The sequence below is a fragment of the Homo sapiens genome, chromosome 12, assembly GCF_000001405.40.
Source record: "Homo sapiens chromosome 12, GRCh38.p14 Primary Assembly".
NCBI classification, from domain to species: Eukaryota; Metazoa; Chordata; class Mammalia; order Primates; family Hominidae; genus Homo; species Homo sapiens.
The window spans coordinates 88,178,222-88,200,289 of NC_000012.12; the positions used below are offsets into that span (position 1 = coordinate 88,178,222).

Consider the following 22,068-nt stretch of genomic DNA (forward strand, 5'->3'; position numbering starts at 1 on the left):
AAAGGTGAAGAAAAAGTTGTGAAAATATAACTGATGGTCTAGCCTTTCAGTTTTATCTCTCTTAGCCCTTCATGTAGTTTAGTTTTTCTTGGAATGTGGGATTAATGTCCTGTACTTCCTTACTTCTTTGCCTTTATTTTCTTCCTTGAGACTAGAATTTCTCCCTTCTCCCTTTCCTCCCATTTTCCAGTGACTTCTCTTGTAAAAACTCTTCCTATCTTTCCAGCTGTAAGCAAATAGTTTTCATATGTAAAACCCCTTAACTTCCTCTGTATCTTTCCTATATTTGTAATTTTCTATTTAGTGCTATATTTTATTTATTTAAATACAAATTTATTTAAAATATTTATTTATTTAAACTGTGGAGCTTCCTTGGGGTAGCAGGAACATCTGATTCATTTTTGTACCCCTGCATCATCAAGTAGGGTCCTATACGCAGTCAGCAGTCTCTAAATATTTTAATTAATTACTTTCTTAAGTCTTGAGATGTGCAATGCATGGATTAATTATATTCTAAGAGTTTTTAGAGAAGCAGCCATCTTTGATTGTCAGGCACACAAGGGCTTTGAGACTGAGATGTTACTTAGGCCCCTCAGACTCTTCTTTCTTGTTTCTAAAATGGGATAGTAATTTCTGTCTCACAGTATTGTTGTAAATACTAAGTTAAGTGTGTGTGGGGTGTGTGTACACATTCAGTTTTGTCTAGTGAATAGTGTGCCTATCACAGGATGTTGCAGACATGGACACTCAGTTTTTAAATAATTTTTCCCCCTCATTGTCAATTGTCACTAATTGCTGTTTTTGAGATATTTGCTGAACCTTTCTTCAGTTTGACTTCACTATCACACTTTGAGAATTGCTGTTTCTATTAATCATAAGCCATGAGATAGGAAAACAAGTAAACCAGTTTATTATATTATGAATAAAGCGTTTTTTAAACTTAGAAATATTGAATGTGGCATCTGAGGTTTCTTGGCTTATTCCATGTTTTTTTAAGCTGTATTCTTCCTAGATGGGTTTGACAGATGAAATGACATGTTATTTTACTGTATCTTAGATAGTTTAGACGGGGCAAGACAGTGACCAGGATAAGGTTAAGAGGGACAACTAGTGTGATGGTTAGTTAAAAGTTTGGACTCTGGCATCAGACCTTTTCTCAAATTTAGTTCAATCACTCTAAGTTTTCTATCTATAAATTTGGAGTAATAATACCTCCATTCTTTTGTATGGGTTATGTTAAATACTGGTTATATAAGACTTAGGCCAGTTTCTAGGCAATAATGTATATTCAATAAATATGAGCTGGTAAGTATTAATGGCATTATTTTCACTGGAGCCAGGAAAGGAGGTTGCTGAGTCTGTCCTGCAGACTCTGGCTGAGTGATGGATGAAAGAGGTATGCTGACACAGGTATTTTGCCTGACAGTGTGGCTAGGAGACTGCACAGCTTAGCACCGCCAATGAGAGAGTGCAGCAGCCACCAAGAGAGTGCAGCCCCCGTAAGCAGGCCCCGGTCGCATTTATTTAATACAGATTTAATGACACAGGCTTGGAGCAAACACAATTTGTGGGTAATAAACATTGTCAACCCCCGGAGTAGAGAGCAGTCCTGTGCGCAAATGATCAAAGATTGGTTTCTGGAGACAGGAGTAAACAAATTTATCTAGATAAGTTCCTTTACATTCCCTTGTTATCTACCCTTTGCTCTCAGGCTCTGGATAAGAGAATCTGGCTGCCTTCAGCCATAATTCTCTTCTGAAGCTTTTGCAAAACCTCCTGGCCTTCCAAAAAGATTTGCATCTTTCCCTATAACTTTTTCTTACAACTTTTCCCACTACCCTGACCGAACTCCTACATCTCACCCTTTTCTGTTTTTTGCATCAGGTTTTGTTGATTGAAGAGTACAGATGTGTGCAGCAACAGGTTTGTCAGGCACAGCAGTTAACACTCGTATTCCGGCTTTGCATCCTAGAATTAGTAAATAACATAAGACAAACATGAGTATAATCAGTAATATTCTTTTCCAATTAAGGAGTGACATGTAGTGTTACTTGGCACCTCAGTCCAGTGTGTGTCATTACTAAGGAACCCCACTGGGGGTATGTTAATCCCTCCTAGCCAAGCAGTTACGTTATTAGAGGCCGGGAAGGGGGTGTCTGCCCAGGTAACAGGGTGAAAGAAAGGCGGATTTAGAAGATGGGCCTAATAGAGAGTAGCAGGTACAGATAGCAGGAAAAGTGAGAGAATAAGAAAAACCAATGTCCTATGAGAGTTGTAATGTACAACAGAAAGCATAGTAAGGAACAAATTATCTGGAGTGAATGGTGTCTGTGTCCAGAACAGGATTCCCTCAGCCTCCTGAGTTATCTTCTTCAGCATCCCGCAGGTAATGTTTGGGGCTTGTGTCATTCAAGAAAACCGCATCTTCTGGGGCTGCAGGTGCTGCAGGGTCGTTTCCTTCATTTCTGGTACCAGGTTGGGTCCTAGCGACACCATAGTATGGTTTGATGCATCATGCTGGAATCCATAGAGGACTTGAGGGGGTGTGAACACAAGCATATTCTCTTCCCCATGTCAACAAATCATTTGGACCACACCATACATTACTATTTACATCTTTCCATAAAACCACAGGTTTTATGTTTTGAAGAACTTTAGTGAAATGCTTTTCTATGGCTGATTGAAATTTATCATCTAAATTTTAAAAATTAAGGGTAAATAAGGCTTGTGCCAATAGTGTTGCAGGATCCTTACTCATATTCCCCCTTTTTAGTTTCTTGAGCATATTTTTAAGGGTAGAGTGGACACGTTCTACTATGGCCTGTCCTTGAGGTTATAAGGGATACCTGTGGAATGTTGGATGTTCCACGTGTGACAAAATTGTTGACATTGTGAGCTGGCATAAGCCAGACCATTATCAGTTTTAATTTTTGTGGGCCACCCCATAAACACAAAAGTTAAGAGAAAATGTTTAATAACATATTGGGAGGACTCTTCAGGAAGAGCATGTGTGCTAATTAGGTGAGAATTGGTATCAATGGATACATGTATATCTAAGTTTTCCAAATTCAAGGATGTGAATAACATTTGTTTGCCATAACCGATTAGGTTCTAGTCCTCTAGGGTTAACACCTGTTGAAGGAGGAGACATGCCTGTGAGTTGGCAATGTGGGCATTGTAAAATAATTTGTTTAGCTAGTCTTTGGGTAGGTTGAAATTGTTTAGTTAAGTTTCTTCAGTTTTGGTGGAAAAATTGATGCAATTGGGTGGTTTGGTCAAGCAGTGACGTCATAACTTGCAGGTCTGCTTGTTCATTGCCATAAGCCAGTGGGCCAGGCAGTGAGCTGTGGGCTCGAGTATGTGTGTTAAAAATAGGATATGTACATTGATCCAGCAATTGCTGAAGTTGAAGAAAAAGTGTACACAGGTGGGCTCGAGAGTGGACTTAATGAGGGCTGTCTTAAGCTTCTGTAATAAATAGAGTAAGCAGAGTCATTAACAATATTGATAAGCTGAGCAGAAAAGGTCTCCAGGGCCAATATTAAGGCTCCAACCTCAGCTCTCTGAGTGCTGGTAAATCCAGAACAAGTGAGGGAATTATGCAGTTTCCACCAAATAGCCACTTTTCCATTTTTACCAGAGCCATCAGTGAAAAGCGTTAAAGCATTGGGTATGGGGGAGTGAACTACTTGTGTAGACACAACTACAGGAGTACGAGAAAAGAACTGAAGTAGTTTGTCAGCAGGAAGGGCATGCTCTGCATGGCCTGCATAATTAGAGAGTGCTATCTGAAGATCTAGAGATAGGGGCAATATTGCTTCGAGTTGCTTTTTACTCAAAGGAATTCTTATGACATCAGGGTCATAACCTAGAAACTGATTGCATCATCTGCAGCCTGTATAGGTGACTTTACTAACTAGCTGGATATAGGGAGATAGTGTTTTAGTCCCAGTACGTGAGCAAAAAACCCATCCTAGGAAGCATAGCCCTGGGGCTGTCTGTCCTATTAATCCTGTTGGGGAATGTTTAGTAGGGAAAACAAACAATTGAACTGAATATTGCAGGTCTGTGCAATCTAGTTACCTCTGAGAAACAGCTTGCTCTATTTTTTCAATTTCCCTTTTTGCTGCAGGAGTTAAATACCTGAGAGAGTCTAAGGCTGTATTGCCCTTTAGGATAGAAAACAGGTTATGTAACTTATCAGTAGTTATGCCCAAGATGGGGCAAAGCCAATTAATATCGCCCAGTAATTTTTGATAATCATTTAAGATATGCAAGTTGATAGTATTTAATTTAACCTTTTGAGGTCTAACTGACCAGGAAGTTAGTATGTATCCAAGATATTTTCAAGGAGAAGACAATTGTACTTTTTCAGGTGCTATGACTAAACCTCTTAGCTATGTATTCTTTACGACAGAGGCTTATAAACTTAAAAGTACTGGCTCCGTTGGGGATGCTAGTAAAATATCATCTATAAAATGAATAATCTTGTATTTAGGAAATTCTTTTCTACTTGGGAGCAAAGCCTGATTTACATGATACTGACACATGGTAGGACTGTTCAGCATCCCTTGAGGAAGCACTTCCCAATGAAATCAGTGAGCTGGCCTTTCATTATTGATAGCTGGTATTGTAAACACAAATTTTTCTCTGTCCTGTTCTGCAAGGGGAATAGTACAAAAACAGTCCTTTAAGTTCATAATGACTACAGGCCAATCTTGAGGAATCGCCACGGGGGAAGGGAGACCCTGTTGAAGGGGCCCTATAGGTTACAAATTAGCACTGATAGCCCGTAAGTCATGCAGAAATCTCCATTTGCCAGACTTTTGGGAAATGATGAAAATGGGCGAATTCCAAGGGCTGTTTGACGGTTCTGTATGGCTGGCTTTTAATTGCTCCTCAACTAATTCATGGGCCAACTAATTCATGGGCTCTTTGTAATTTTTCTCCCTTTAAAGGCTACTGTTCTACCCAAATAGGATTTTGAGAGAGCCATGTCAGGGGGAGGAGAGGAATAACAGTGGCCATTATTAGAAAGAGGTCTGCAGAATGACCTCAGTTAACCCTCTCATAAATGGGCTAGCAGCTGTTTTCTTTAATGCTTTTCCTTATCTCTTTATAAGTGCCGAAAGTAATGAGTTCATATACCCCATTGCCTTGTTGATCTTGCATTGCCAGGCAGGCTAAGAGCTCCCCTTCTAATGCTGCTACCTAAGACAGGGTCCCATAGCTATAGTGTATCCCTTGTCTTTCTTCCAATTTATTGGAGGAGGGGCCTCAGGCAAAACCTCTGTTTCCCCTTTGGTATTTTTGCCCTTTACTGGTGGGGCTGAGGGAGAAGGAGGAGGCGGTAAGGTAGGTGACGGTTTCTCCTCCCTTCCCTTTTTAGGTTATTCTGTGTAGTGCGGGACCAAAGCAGCCCTAACTAAGGGCCATAACATTAGAGATGCTACTGGGACCTGATATCCTTGGGCATGATGTTAAGATTTCTCCACACTTGTTCTCAGAGCCCTATGTCTAGCATACCTTCTTCTGGGAACCATGGGTTATGGGAAACAGCAGTTTGCATTATGTCCCTTAATTGAGCCTGCGAAACTGGGGCTCCACTAGCTTTAAGCAGCTGTTTCAGTACTTTTATATACTGTTTCTGTTGAGCTGACAACCACTGTCCCATGATGAAACCCTAGCCTGAACAATTCCCTCGAACTTGGAAATCCCAAGCGGGCACCAATGACTTACTGTGCAGTCTCTTAACCTTCGTTTTTGAGGGTTCCATCGCAATCCATTGCAGCCTTCCTCACACGGGGCACCACCTGCCGAGTCTGTCCCACAGACTCTGGCCGAGTGATGGATGAAAGAAGTACACTGACACAGGAATTTTGCGTGACAGCGTGGCTAGGGGACCGCATGGCTCAGCACCACCAACAAGAGAGTGCAGCAGCCACCAAGAGAGTGCAGCCCCCCTAAGCCAGCCCTGCTAGCATTTATTTAGTTCAGATTTAATGATAAAGGCTTGGAGCAAACACAATTTGTGGGTAATGAACATTGTCGACCCCCCAAGTAGAGAGCAGTCCTGTGCATGAATAATCAAAGGTTGATTTCTAGAGAAAGGAGTAAACAAATTTATCTAGATAAATTCCTTTACATTCCCTTATCTACTCTTTTCTCTCAGACTCCTGATAAGAGAATCTGGCGGCCTTCAGCCATAATTCCCTTCGGAAGCTTTTGCAAAGCCTCCTGGCCTTCCAAGAAGGTTTGCATCTTTCCCTATAACTTTTTCTTACAACTTTTCCCACCACCCTGACCAAACTCCTACAGGAGGTGGCAAAAAAGTGATGTATAATGCAGGGAAGAAGGCTGAAAGAGAATGGATAGCAAATGGCTCTGTAGGTATATTTGTTCATTGGGCACGTATTTGAGAATTTACCATGTGTCAAGACACTGTTTTAAGTGCTGGGGAATCCAGAAGAAATAAAACAAATTTCCTCCCTTCGTGGAGTTTCCATTCTAAATAAAGGCATAAACATAAGTAAACAAATACACACCACATGTAAATATATATATATATACACACACACAAAATATATATATACACACACACATATGCATGCACATGTGTATTTATATGAAAGTGATAAAAGCTATAAAAAGGGCATAGAGATTAGAAATTTTCAGAGAAAGTCTCTTCGAGATGATAATAAACAGAGCAACCTTCGCACATATACTCTGGTGTAATTTTAAGTATCACTGGCTATGCAGAAAACAGTGAAGAAAAGCAGGAAGATCATTTAGAAGGCTTTTGCAGTAACCCAAAGACATGATTGAGTTGTAATTTTTTAATAGCAATCTTGAAGTACATGTGACATACAATAGACTATACATGTTTAAAATACATAATTTGATAAGTTTCGGCATATGTATATTATCTGTGAGACCATAATTACAATTAAGATACTGAAAATATCCATCAACCCCTCAAATTCCTTGGATCCTTTTCTGATACCTCCCTCTTACCCCTTTTCACCCCAGCCTTCTCTAAGCAAAAGCTTTCTATCACTACAGATAATGTGCTTTTTCTAAAATTGTGTATGAATGGAATTATACTCTATGGACTCTCTCTTTTTTTTTTTTCTTGGCTTTTTTACTCTGCACAGTTATTTTGATACTCATTCATGTTGTTGTATGAATCAAAAACCCATACCTTGGTATGGCTGAGTAGTATTCCTTCACGTAGATATACCACAGTTTGTTTATCCATTTACCTGTTGATGGATGTTTGGATTGTTCACAGTTTGGAGCTGTTACAAACATGGCTGTTACGAACATTCATATACCAGTCTTTATGGATATATGTTTTCATTTCTCTTAGGTAAAAACCTGAGAGAAAAATGGCATGGTCATATGATTTCTGTATGTTTAACTTTTTAAAGGCTGCTAAATTATGTTCCAAAAAATGTATTTCCCACCAGCAGTATAGGAGAGCTCTCCTGCCTTTCTTAATTCTTCATTTGCTGAGAATTTTTAACACAAGTAAATGTTGGATTCTGTCAAATGCTTTTGTGCACCATTTGAGATGATGATAAGGTTTTTATTTTTTTTGTCTGTTAATACAGTGGATATCATCAATTGATTTCATAATGTTAAAACAACCTTGCCTTCAGTAATACACAATTTGATTGTGACTTATTATCTTTATTATATTTTATTTGTTAAAATGCTATTAGTAATTTTTACATCTATATTTATGAAGGATAGAGAGTTCCTAGGAGATTCCAGATATTTATAAATTTATTTTTTTAAATAAATTGATAATTTTGTGGACAGGAAATACTGAAACTCTACATAATTGCCTAAGCCATCAATGTGAGAATACTTCACTGTTGGGCAGCTAATATTTCACTGTTGGGCAGCTGTGTATTAGTCATACACAGTTGCCTGAAAACTTCCCAGCCACATCACATTTGCATCCCTAGGCAGGATGACTGAGATCATATGTGAACCAGTGTCTAATAACTACTGTCATTTCAAATAAATGGTGACTGTAAACCTGTGTACACAGGTGTTTGTTACTATTAAAAACACATGCAAACATTCATGCAGGTAAGTTGATAACCTTTAGCAGTGAGGTAAGTTCCCTTCTAAACAAAGTTCCTTTGTTTTCCTAGTGAAAATATGATATTAGAGATGTGAGGAGAGATAAGAAATGAAAGAGACTCAACTAGGATTCTGGAAAAATTAACTGATTATAGAAACCTAGTATTGACAAACTGAGACTACATTTGAGATTTGTGAGGTCCTCATTTACCATTGAATTAAAAGCTAGATTGTTAACTCATGCTGCTGTTGTTTTGGATAGGTACTGGTAAGAGTGGGCTTGTTCTTTGAAGTTCCTTTAGTTTCTTTAGTCATTTAAATGTCATTGATTTTTTACATCTTGCCTTCTTTTCTTACCTTTTGTTAATACTTAAATTTATCTTAAAAGTGATACTATTTTACCCTCTAGAATCTTAAAACTTTGTAAATTATAAAGAATTGCTTAGAAATTAGGTCTTTCATTTTATTAGCTGTATTGAGTGGCCTTTTTGATGCTAAACAATATCTAATTGCATCTCTGCTCTTTGAAAACATAGGGCTGCTATACTCTAGTGTCTGAAGTCTACATTAATGACAATATCTCCTGGCCTTAATTCTAAGAGCATGATTTCAATGGATAGTAATTCACCTCATTTTTTATCTAAGTATATAACCTCTTTCTTTTCTAACATTGGTTGGGGATAATTTCAATAACATTTTAAATACTCAGCTGGCATAATTACAGTTTTATTTTAACAAATTTTCAGTTTATTCTTAAATTCTTAGTGTATAATTTTTTCAGGTTCTATGTACCTTAGCTTTTCCTAAATAACATTCTGAGCTCTATAAACATATGGTATGGATTTATCTGGTAAAAAAAAAAAAAAAGATATAAAAGCAAAGACTACCCCATATTTTTAATTGACAATAATAGTACATATTCATGGGATATATAGTGATGTTTTGATACATATAATGCAAGCAAATACCCTGATCTAATCACTATACTGCATATTTTATATGCAATTGGATAATACAATGATTTTCAGCCCTGATTCTACATCAGAATTGCCTTTGACACTTTTTATGAACATATTTTTGCAGATTTCATTTCTGAACATTATGTTTTGATGGACCTAGGTGGGGCTGAAGTATCTGACTTTTTTTTAAACTACACAGGTATTCTGATTTGCAGCCAGAATTAAGAATGGCTAGCTTAAACGTTTTTTTTGCTTGACCCCTCCTGGCTCCATGAGACTCAGCAATACATCTAAAAAGAAAAAAATCTACTTCCTTACTCCTAAACTTATCTATAATCAAACCTGGACCGCATCTGCCAGTTTTTGTGCAGTGCACACAATTGCCAGCCTAAAACATTATATAGCAAGTTCTTAGGACTGTTACTCAGGGAATGCCCAAGATATATATGCTTGGCCCCTATGTGTCCTAGGAGTTGCAGGCAAAGAATTATTGCACAATTGCAAAATAATTGGTATCACAAGGCAAGTAGTAATCATAATGAACCTTTTCATGTATTTTAGTTCGTGTTGAGTATAAACTGTCTGATTTAAGATCTTCTACCTTCCTTCTATCATTATTCCAAACCTTTGAAATATTTACTGGCAAGTATATCTTTTTAAAAAGCTACTGTACAATGAATCCTCATCTCTTTCCTATTTCAGCTACATTTTTTTTCCTATCCCTGAATAAATTTGCTGGGATTTTTACTTTCCACATCAGAAAATGAGACATAAGTTCCTGACATTCTAAAATTAACACAACCTTTTAAAAAAATCTAAAATTAATTTTAAGGAGTTAATTATCATTTAAAAGAGCTGGGCCACTGCATCTTAAGTAATACTATTATCATTATGTTCCATTATACTCTCATTCTAGCCACAGTCACAAAAATTTTTAAAAATCGAATGGCAAAGTTTTTTTTCAGTCTCTTTGCCCCTGTTCCACCATGATGCATATTTGTTATAACACTTGAAATAATTCTAAAAATCCTGATGATTCATTTTACTTGTAGAGTTGAGCTGTACCTTTTGAGTGAATTCCTAAGCTATGAGATTAAGTAAATGGAAGCAAGCTTTAGTGTAGTAAAATACAATGAAGGAAGGTAATAAAAATTTCTTCATTACCTTTATCTCTGGAAGCAAGCTTTAGTGTAGTAAAATACAATGAAGGAAGGTAATAAAAATTTCTTCATTACCTTTATCTCTCTTATGTCTCAACTCTTCAAAAATCCATTCAAATAGTTTTTTCATGCCATGTATGTATTTTCTGTCTTTACATGCTTTAAGTAATTTTGTGTATACCATTGGTTTTAAGTTATAACAAGTTAAATTACAAGAACTTTAAGGAAGAAGCAGGACCTGTTGCCTGCTTTTGCATTTTTGCCTAGTGTGTTTGTTTCTGGAAATATGTCTTCTCATTAGTTACATTGAATACTTGTTTATATATCAAATACATTTAATCATTTCATTGAGTATATTGAATATATCAGTTGTATACTTGCCAACAAATGATTGTTTTAAAATTTTAGATGATATTGGTGCCCATATGAATGTAGGAAGAACTTATAAAAATTTAAATAGAACCAAAGAAGCTGAAGAATCTTACATGATGGCTAAATCACTGATGCCTCAAGTAAGTTGCCATAATTTATCTATTGTGTCATATCTATTAGATGTCCATATTGAATAGAATTATCTAGAAGGAAAATCTTTATCTTTTCTTCAGTTAGTTGATATAAAAGTAAGTTTTATAAAGAATTACATTTTTCTAGCTTACTTAATTTTTTTTTTTTTTTTGGAGACGGAGTCTTGCTGTATTGCCCAGACTGGAGTGCAGTGGCACGATCTCAGCTCACTGCAACCTCTGCCTCCCAGGTTTAAGTGATTCTTCTGCCTCAGCCTCCCAAGTAGCTGGGACTACAGGTGCCTGCCACCACACCCGGCTAATTTTTGTATTTTTAGTAGAGACAGGGTTTCACCATATTGGCCAGGCTGGTCTCGAACTCCAGACCTCGTGATCTGCCCACCTCAGCCTCCCAAAGTGCTGGGATTACAGGCATGAGCCACTGCGCCCGGCCGTAGCTCACTTAATTTTAAAAATTGTTTTTATAGTCCATTTGTAAAAACTAAATTCATAAAGTATGAATTTTAGATATTCTTGATTATGAGTTATCAGCAAGTTAATGACTTTAAATAAATATAATTTTATTTATGTATATTAAGCATACAGTTCAACATTATTCCTATCAAAAAATAAAGTGATAAAATTAGTAGATACATCTCTTACTATATTGTGTCCATCAGTTGTTAGAATAAGATTCATTAAATATAAGGTAGTATCGAAATTGGAAGATCTTACCCTATGTCAATTTTCATGTTATCAGCAAAATATTTCTGGGTTGTGACCGTAGGATAGTTAATTTATTCCAGAATACTAAGGACTCACTTGTCTGGTGAAGTTTGGAAATTAAACAGTCTGATTATTAAGTTAAGGTTTTTATAATACATAGTATATATGGATCGAGACTTCCAGTGAACACAATAAATTAGATATGATAAAAACCAATAACAAATACAATTTAACTGTTACAGTTAAGGATTAAAATAATCCTTAAAATGTCATACAGTTCAACTTTAAAAAAAATTAACTATCCTATCACTATTAATATTACTATAAATATTATTACAATTGAGAAAACTTCAGCCCAGCTTAAGCTATTTTTTCTGAGGACATAAGACTATGCCACTAATTTTACCACTTTGTTAAAAATAAATAATAAAAATGTAAAAGAAAACACACACAAAAATGTGAATAAAAATATTTTACTTACAGTATCCTCAAAAATGTAAATAAAATAGTACTTTGTGGCATTAAGGATATATTTTTTCATTCATGCCACCTCAGTGGATTATTAGCTTTTTATTTGTATCTGTCTTTTTCTGAAGTCAAACAAATCAGAACTTTTAGAAGTCAAGGTATCTTAGGTTTAGTCAAAACAGGAGTAGAACCCTGATCTCTCAGTCCAGTGTATTTTTTACAGTATGTTCTGAGTTATTTTGAATTAGCCAATAGGAATATGTACTTTTGATTTTTGATACTGAAATATCAAATCATGAAAATGCCTTTTCTTCTAAACAGATTATTCCTGGTAAAAAATATGCAGCCAGAATTGCCCCTAACCACCTAAATGTTTATATCAATCTGGCTAACCTGATCCGAGCAAATGAGTCCCGACTGGAAGAAGCAGATCAGCTGTACCGTCAAGCAATAAGCATGAGGCCCGACTTCAAGCAGGCTTACATTAGCAGGTATCCCAGTTCAACTTTAAGCTATCATTATGGAATATTGAAACTGCATCTCCATGTACATTTTGAATGAATTGGTTTTTTTTGAAAAAAAATTATGTTTTTAATAATCTTACTTAGCAACCAAGTGCATAGAAGAGCATAACTTTTTAGACTGACAGTCAGATTTTATTGATTTGAAATTAACAAGGGGAATCCCTAACTTGTAATAGCCAACTTAGGTTTTGTATTAAGGAAAGGGTAGAAGCAGCTCTGTCTTAGTTGCATTTTCTTCCCATCACCAAAATTGTTCTTTTCCTATTTAAATTAAAACTTGAAACTTACATTTTATAATAGTTACTTCTAATATCAAACTCTCAGGAACTTTCTTGTTTTTAGAGTTGATTGGTTATTGATGCCTTTGACACAAAGAAAACATCTTGGTTCTCAGCAAAAAAAAAAGTTTTCTGGCACCACATGTTAAAACTTCATTTATTTTCTCATGTATGTGTTATCATTTGTATTACTTTTGAGGAAAAATGTGTTTTTAAACTTCGTTTTGTAGCCTGGTCCAGAAAACTAATAGTAATTTGTAACATTTTTTCCTTTGGGGAAAGTACATTCTGAATTTAAGTTTTTGAGATAAAATCTGTTTGTAAGTTGGGGTTTTCTTTGTTCCGCCGTGCCTATTGAGTTTATTAGCAGGGTTGTATCTATAAATAACACCTGTCATGTATTAATTCATAAAGAACTATTCAACAATCTCTACATTAAAAAAATAATATTTTGGACAAACATTCATTCTAGAAGTGGTTTTAATGAGAATATTAATTGTTGTTCCTTTTATTTCTGTGCTGATACTATAGGAAAGAGTAGTATTATAAGAACAACTCTCATATCACTACTTAAATATTATTTGTACATATGTAAAAATAATTCTTTAAGCAAAATTACTTTTTAAAATTTTCTAACAGAAAATAGAACCACACTAGAAAGATTTATACAATGGTTTCTTAACTGGTCCTCAATTCTAAGTGTGTTCCTCAAAGTTATCTACAGGTCAGATTAATCCCTCCCACTCTACCTGTTCAGCTTTTTTTTAGTCCTTTTTCTGTTTGTTTGTTTGTTTGTGACAGAGTCTCACATTGTTACCCAGGCTGGAGTGCAGTGGTGTGATCTCGGCTAACTGCTACCTCTGCCTCCTGGGTTCAAGTAATTCTTGTTCCTCAGCCTCACTATTAGCTGGGACTACAGGCGCGTGCCACCATGCCTGGCAAATTTCTGTATTTTTAGTAGAGACAGAGTTTTGCCATGTTGGTCAGCTGGTCTCCAACTCCTGACCTCAAGTGATCTGCCCACCTCAGCCTCCCAAAGTGCTGGGATTACAGGAACGAGCCACCATGCCCAGCATTTTTCTTTTTTTTTTTTTCTTTTTTTTTTTTAAGAATGGTCGTATTATAAGAAGACATTGATGAGGACTAAATTAATATAAGAAGGGGTTACAGATTTTTAATATTTTGGTTTTTTGCATAGTGAGCCTTCTATTATACATTCAAATATTGGAATTTCTCTTACCACTACTATATGTCATTTTTTTCTTCTAATGCTGTTATTTTGTCACCTGACAAATTCATTAATCTTTCACTCTGGCTAGCTGCCCTTTTTCTGATGCAGTTTAGTCTGTCTCCTTTTTAAGATAAAGTCAAAGAATATATTTGCTCTGTCCTCCTTCCTGGATTCCTCCTGATAGGTTGCCCTCTGAAATCAGGCATAATTTTTTTCTTCTTAAATAATATTTGAAAATATATCAAGCCAAATATACTGAACTAAGGAGTTCAGATTTGAGGACAGTTTCAAAGAGTTGTTTTCGAAAGAGAGTTTTTTAAGAGTCTGAGTTAAGAGAAAAAAAAGCTGTATGTGGAAAGGCTTAAAACTTGGCAAAAATTGTATCTACAAACTGAGATGGTAATGTTGTAAGTAAAGCTTGTGTTTGATTTTTCCACAGAGGAGAATTGCTTTTAAAAATGAATAAACCTCTTAAAGCAAAGGAAGCATATCTTAAAGCACTAGAGCTGGACAGAAATAATGCAGATCTTTGGTACAACTTGGCAATTGTACATATTGAACTTAAAGAACCAAATGAAGCCCTAAAAAACTTTAATCGTGCTCTGGAACTAAATCCAAAGCATAAACTAGCATTATTCAACTCTGCTATAGTAATGCAAGAATCAGGTATGTTTTCTCAAAATATTTCTGTTTATATAAATTGTAGTTTATAATATAATAAGACCTTAATTTAACTTTATTACCCATAGCAAACACTTTATGTATTGACAGTTTATAGCAATACTGTGCTTAACTGATTTATAGAAAGAATATTTAAAATACTTGAAGTAAACTATTTTCAAGTAACATGCATTCTAACATATGATAATACTGATTTTTAATTCTTCTGGCATGTGTTAAGACTAATTTTTCAGGCAGTCTATTAAGCAACATTAACTATTTTGTCATTTTATATACATAAACATAATGTAACTTATATATAAACTCTCCAAATAATATGAACTTGTGAAATTTTTTACATAATTGGCTGTGAGGAGCCAAGAGCATATGTTTTCAAAAAAATAGCATTTTATTTTCTTTTGATTCATAAGAGCAAATACTTTTGGCACCATTTTATATCCAGTTTTACTACGTTTTCTGAGATGTTGTAATTTTTTATATTTCCTATAATTTAGCAAAACTAAATTATTAACCACAGTAAATCTGGATCCTTCATCCATATTTTATATAGGAATTTCAGTTCTGCCTCATAAGATAGTGTATATGATTTATAATCTTTTTAATTTATAAATTAGAAAAATCTATTATAATGTTTAGTTATTTCTTAGATACATTTCGTAAAACTTTTGTAAAATATGAAAGAATCATAAAGTCGTAGTATTTTAGAGCTAAAGAGGACCTTTGAGTTTGCATTTGCCAGTCTTCTATTTAGTAGAGTGAAAACCAAATAGATTTTATGACTGCCCCAAAGTCATATGGCTAAATAGGTAACCCAAGACAAGAACTGAAGCCTCCTGATTTATTTTCAAATTTTCTTTATCCATCGTGCTGCCAAATAAAAGAATAGAGAGAAGTCTTTATGCCTGGTGTCCAAAAAAGTAGAAATTTGGAGAAAAGCTAATATTTTTGTAAGGTTTTCTACCTTGATAATCATGAAGGATGCTCATTATTCGACACAAGATTGTACTATAAGGTTTGTAATTGTAGAACTTGAACTTTTTTGTTTTTTTGGCTTTTTTTTTGCAATAGAAATTATCTCAATGGAGATTTGTTTCCTGCCAGGCAGTGGCTGATGCCTGTAATCCTAACACTTAGGGAGGCCAGGGTGGGGAGGATCACTAGAGGCCAAGAGTTTGAGAATAGCCTAGGCAACATAGTAAAACTCTGTCTCCACAAAAAATTTTAAAATCAGCAAGAAATGATGGCACATGCCTGTAGTCCCAGCTACTCGGGAAGCCAAGGTGGGAGGATTGCTTGAGCCCAGGAGTTTGAGGTTACAGTGACCTGTGGACACAGCACTGCCCTCCAGCCTGAGTGACATAGTGAGACCCTGTCTCAAAAAAAAGAAGATACATGTTTCCTAAATCCTAATTTTATAGCCCTATATTTAATGGTATGTTTTTGTCCTCGAAACATTCCTAAAACTTTGAAGTAACATTTTTTAAAATGTGATACAGTCATTCTGAAGCTTTTTTCTACCCAGTAATAGTTACTATTTGCTGAACATTTTTTCGATATACAACATACAATTATTAGAAAACTCAGTTAACCCAGAGAAGTTAAGTAACATGTTCAGTGTATAAAGTCATAATGTTATCAGAATCAAGATTGAATACATGTCTTTGTTGGCAAATCCCATGCTTCTTTTTCTGAATTCTCTATTTTCCTTCTATTTCCAATTGAATTCTAAATTATAAGAGACATTTCTCTCCTTTTGGTTTCTGAAGCACTGTTACTGCTTTAAAGGAAAAGAAATAAGCTATCTTTTTACTGTTTCAAATATTTTGCTTTTCCTATGAAGACTTCGAGATTTTTGCTTTCTACTTTTTTTAACTATGGAAATTAGTTGTTTTGAAGCTGTCTTTTTGTAATCTAAGTATTTGAAAATGGCTTTGTTCCTCACATTTAATTATTTTATTAACAATATATTTTTTCTTTAAAAAAACTTTCTAGGTGAGGTTAAACTCAGACCTGAAGCTAGAAAACGACTTCTAAGTTATATAAATGAAGAGCCACTAGATGCTAATGGGTATTTCAATTTGGGAATGCTTGCCATGGATGACAAAAAGGACAATGAAGCAGAGATTTGGATGAAGAAAGCCATAAAGTTACAAGCCGACTTCCGAAGTGCTTTGTTTAATCTGGCTCTCCTGTATTCCCAGACTGCAAAGGAATTAAAGGCTTTGCCAATTTTGGAGGAGTTACTCAGATACTACCCTGATCATATCAAGGGCCTCATTTTAAAAGGAGACATTCTGATGAATCAAAAGAAAGATATACTAGGAGCAAAAAAATGTTTTGAAAGGATTTTGGAGATGGATCCAAGCAATGTGCAAGGAAAACACAATCTTTGTGTTGTTTATTTTGAAGAAAAAGACTTATTAAAAGCTGAAAGATGCCTTCTTGAAACACTGGCATTAGCACCACATGAAGAATATATTCAGCGCCATTTGAATATAGTCAGGGATAAGATTTCCTCATCTAGTTTTATAGAGCCAATATTCCCAACCAGTAAGATTTCAAGTGTGGAAGGAAAGAAAATTCCAACTGAAAGTGTAAAAGAAATTAGAGGTGAATCCAGACAAACACAAATAGTAAAAACAAGTGATAATAAAAGTCAGTCTAAATCCAACAAACAATTAGGAAAAAATGGAGACGAAGAGACACCCCACAAAACAACAAAAGACATCAAAGAAATTGAGAAGAAAAGAGTTGCTGCTTTAAAAAGACTAGAAGAGATTGAACGTATTTTAAATGGTGAATAACATTAATATTTATCGTGACAATGGTATCAAAGAACATCAATCCGTATCATGTGATTGCTTTTACTGGGAGCTTTGAAAAAAAGTTCAAGGGTTCCTAATGGTCAATCATGAGCTGCCTTGAAGTAGGATCAAAATAAGATTTTCATTAAAGACCTGTATTATCCCAGGATGTATATTATGTATCGCTGTTTTCAGAGTGTGGGTGAATATAGCAGAAATATTACAGCGGAAGTGACAAATTTACAACTTTTATTATAGAAAGAAGGTGTTTCTGGCAATGTAATCTTTACTGCTCTCAATTAAAAATAATTTTGAGGCCTGAATGATAATCCCTTGAGGACAAATCCAACATGTGCTGGTTTATTCTGTTAATTCCCATTTATTTGCCTACTTCATTTTTCTTGCACCTCTTAGAATCTAACTATGAATTGAAAACACTTAAGTAATTCTGTTTAATCAAGGGATTTACACTACAAAAGAATGCTGGCTTTTTTTATGTTGTATTCCTTAGTTGAGTTTTAGAAGGAATGCTTGATGAAACATTTTAAAATAAGTCATGACATGTTAGCTTGAGAATGTATTTTCATAATTGTATACTTGTTTTTAACTTTAAATGTAATTTTTAATCAGGTAAAGTTTGACACATGTATAGCTACATACACACATTTTTAATGGTGCTCATATATACTGTATTTTTTGTTGTTTAGTTTTACTTATTGAGAGTGTCACAACATGAATCACATAATCATGATTTTTTTTTTTTACTTTTACTCCCCAAATTATTCATGTTTCTTAGATCGTAGTCATTGAGAAGTCCCAATAACTCTAAACTTTTGAGTTATAACGTAGTAAACTTCTCTTTCATCTTTGTGTTAGCTCTGTAGTCTTAACCTGGATTTTAATTTTTTTGTTTCCAAAGTCACAATTGAATTATTCTTAGATACCTTAAGCCACTGAATTCAGTTCTGTTTGACTGAAAGCAAAACAACGTGACAGTTTATTTTCAAACACTAACTTCTTGATATTTTGTTATGGTATATCTTTTTATTAAATATTTATTTTGACTAAGCTTTCATAAAATATTTGAAGCTATTTTAATCATCAAGTATGGAAAACAAATTACTATTGCATTTTCCTATATATGCATATATTATGGATTAACCAGAATTGTATCATTTTTGGCCTAATGTCTGGATATAAAAGATAATTAGCCTACTATAGTATTAATAAATTTTTCAGTTGGTTTGGGCAAATTTAAACCTGAAAAATAGGTTAAAAAGTAGTTACAAATTAAACTTACTAATTTATACCTGATTTTTTTTCTTGAATTAAAGTACATTTTAAATGAGCTTTATAATACCTTAAAAAGTTGGTTCTAATTTAAAATATGAAAGCTCTGGCTATCATCCTGGGATAGTAATTTCTAATTATATAGTATTTCAAAACTATATATTTTTTAGTTCCTTTGAGATAACTAATTTCTAATTATATATGTTTCAAAAACCATATCCTGTATTTTTTTTAAGAATTGTTTTATAAATAGGTCATAAGATACAAGGTCTGCATTAGAAGACCCACTCTTACTAGGTTCCCTAAGGATCTGCCATAGATTTTTTTTTTTTTTTTTTTTTTTTTAGGTAGTTTAAAGCAAGCACTGATACCAGTGGGAGTTGGTCTTGATCTAGGAGATTCTGTTAAGCATCCAAAAACAATGCCTAATTTCAGTTCTTAGGTTATGGCTTGTGACTCCAGATAAAAGATGGAGAATACCTCATGTACTGTGACTTGAAAATGAATTCTTAAAATTCTTAGGCTCTCTCCATGTATCTTTCTTAAGGAAAAGTTTCTGAGTGTGATCTCTCTTTTGCCATAGTATCAAGTGGAGGGTAGTTCAGAAAAGTTAATAGGAAATCTTTTGTGACAGCAGACTATAATAGAAGTTTGAGTAATATTTTAATAAATTTATATAATTCAAATGATAAAAATGTATCAATGTTATCCAATGATTTTTATTAAAAAATTACCTTATTATTAGAACTGTGCCTATTACATAAAAAGTGCTCATGTATTTGAATTTTAAATAATTTATTTAAATCAAGACCACCATAAGTCATTAATAATTTAATAATTGTTTTAAATCAGTGGTTTTCAACCCTCACTTCATATTAGAATCATCTGAGGACTTTTAATATGGAATCCACCTCATAACAATTAAGTCTAAATTTCTGGAAGATGGAGCCATGCTTGTTTTTCCAAAAGCTCTTTGAGTGATTCTAATTTGTAGTCAGAGTTGAAGACCACTGCTCTAAATTAGTGCAGGAAAATGCTTTTATTTCTCCCATGTTAACTTTTAAAACTAGTAATGTACCCAGTTAAGTTTTGATGGTTTAAATTCCACTAAAGAACATATTCTTCTAATAACTAGCATTTATTACATGAAATTTAAGAGTTTAAGTTCCATCAAACTAGCCCTTGTGTAAGATTATTATTTCTTCTCTATAACTTCAAAATAGATATTTCATTCAAACTGTTCAGGTGAGAAAACATAATGGATTTTTTTTTTTTTCCTCTGGAGCTGCCTGTTCAGTGAGATGGAGGAGGTGGGCACATTTAAGGTCAGTTCACTAACCTATGGTTCAGAGTTCTGATCATATGGAAGTTTGGAAAAGAGAGCTTATCACAGGTTTGTATGCTGGTGAATGGATAGTTTTAATTCTCACTGTCTCAAAAGAGAATCAGCTCTCCAGCAGTTCTAGAAAAGCTTTGACAATCCCCAAGGGGCAGTGTTACCTTACTCCTTCACTGCTTCTTAGAAGGTAGAATTAAGTTTCTGGAATTGCACCTACATGTTTTCTTATTAACATTCAGAATTGGGAATATTAATTTTTCCAGTGAGTAGTTTTCTGAAATTGGTAACTTGGAGAGTAAAATAACGTATTTTGCTTTTCAATTTTGTGTTTGTTTACTTTTATGTAAAAATTTGATATGTGAATTACACAGTTCTAATAAAACCTCATGCCTTTTCATTACATCTAATTTGAACTCTCAACTTCATGTTACAGAATGCTTTAAAGATGCTTTAATGAAAAGTATTAAGAAAATATATAGATTTGTATGTCAGTTTATACTTCAGAAATCCATATATTTGTCATATTTATTTTTTTAGAAACCTCCTAATTGGATAACTAGATGGTATTTAAAATGAATGCCCAAAAATATCTTGTACCTTTGTCCAAAAGTTTATCTGTTGGAAGCCGCCAGCCATTCATGTAGAGAGTTTATAAGAAAATAATTTAAAATTGTATGCATTTTATATTACTATGGTATCTGTGTACCATATTTCTAAGTATTCATTATTAAATTGGTACTTCTTAAAACCATAACCTGGCTTGCCTTTTAGTGTTAAAAAAATACAACATTGTATATAGAGATTTCTTTTATGAAGAAGAGCTGACGTAATTTATTAGCAGTGATCTGAGAAAGACATTAAATAAGTTTCTGAGAGTGATACATTTTCAAACATGAGGAGTGACAACCACCAAATTAAGAAAAGGAAACAACTCAGACTTGGAATTTTATACGAATTTCATTTCTATATGTGCCTGGTATTGCCTCTGGCATAACTTAGAGGAAATTGTTCTACCTATATGTCCTCAGTTTCTTCATCTACAAGTTGGGAAAAACATTTTCCTCTTAAAATTGTGAAGAGGATTTATATATTTATATGATATATTGTATATATTAATATATTTAAATTGCTTAGAGTTTCTAGCACATAGCAAATAATAAATATTAGTTATTAGTATAAACATAAGGCTTAAAGTCTTGGATTTGATGCATATGACTTAATTTGTATTTGTGCTAGTAGCTGTAATGTCAGTGACAGGATAACAAGCAAATGATTAGAAATCTAATAGTAATGCTTGTTCCTTTGCTATCTATGCTAACAAGTACATAGATAGCCTAAGATAAATTATACTTAGGATGAAGCTAAAATGCATAACTGAGACACCTTAAAATTGTACTACCTTGTGCTGTTCACTGCCATCAGGGAGGTAGCATAAAATGAAAGATAAAGTCTGAAGACTGGATCCAGGCAAATTCATGTTCTTTCTTTGTAACTCACTTTCTTCGTCAACATTTCTGTGACTCAATGGATAGCATATTTCCATCAAGTAGCACGTATAACGTGATGCTTTCATGTTTCTGCCTTAAATAAAATAACCCTCAAAAAACCATTCTAGTTTGCCCTTTCTTAAAGACGCATGGTCAAAATTTTGTCTTTATTGCTTGCCTCCATGGTTTAGTTTCAAATATTGGGACCATACACTGACTAAACAAACCCATACTAAAGTATAAATGATGGGTGAATCTTATTAGCCATATCAAAGGTTAAGTCAAGTGAACCACTTTCTTTGTAAAGTTTCAGGCAGTAGAATGGGTTTCGTGGATGTGGCGTTTCTCTACCATTCTTGCTTTCTAACTAAATTAGGTCTCAAAAAGCTTGCTAACTGCAACAAACACTTCTGACCAGGTAACTGTTTTGGATTGGCCCTGACAGGCCAGGTTACTGACCTTTGAGAGTGGGATTGAGTAACCAGATTGTTAGCAGAATCAGATCTAGTTTTAACAGTGATGTG

General features: G+C 34.4%; 1 protein-coding gene across 6 annotated transcripts in view; it reads left to right on the plus strand.

The window, feature by feature from the left end:
* The window catches only part of TMTC3 (transmembrane O-mannosyltransferase targeting cadherins 3), a 57,581-nt gene extending 35,915 nt beyond the window's left edge, over positions 1-21,666 (plus strand). For all 6 annotated transcript variants that reach the window (NR_159381.1, NM_181783.4, NM_001366579.1 and 3 more), the window contains 4 exons: positions 10,622-10,725; positions 12,232-12,401; positions 14,383-14,609; positions 16,617-21,666. Coding sequence is in view for 5 of the 6 variants with exons in the window: in NM_181783.4 (NP_861448.2) it covers positions 10,622-10,725; positions 12,232-12,401; positions 14,383-14,609; positions 16,617-17,428 (1,313 nt within the window). In the remaining variant the exon portion in view is untranslated. The remainder of the gene's footprint in view (positions 1-10,621; positions 10,726-12,231; positions 12,402-14,382; positions 14,610-16,616) is intronic.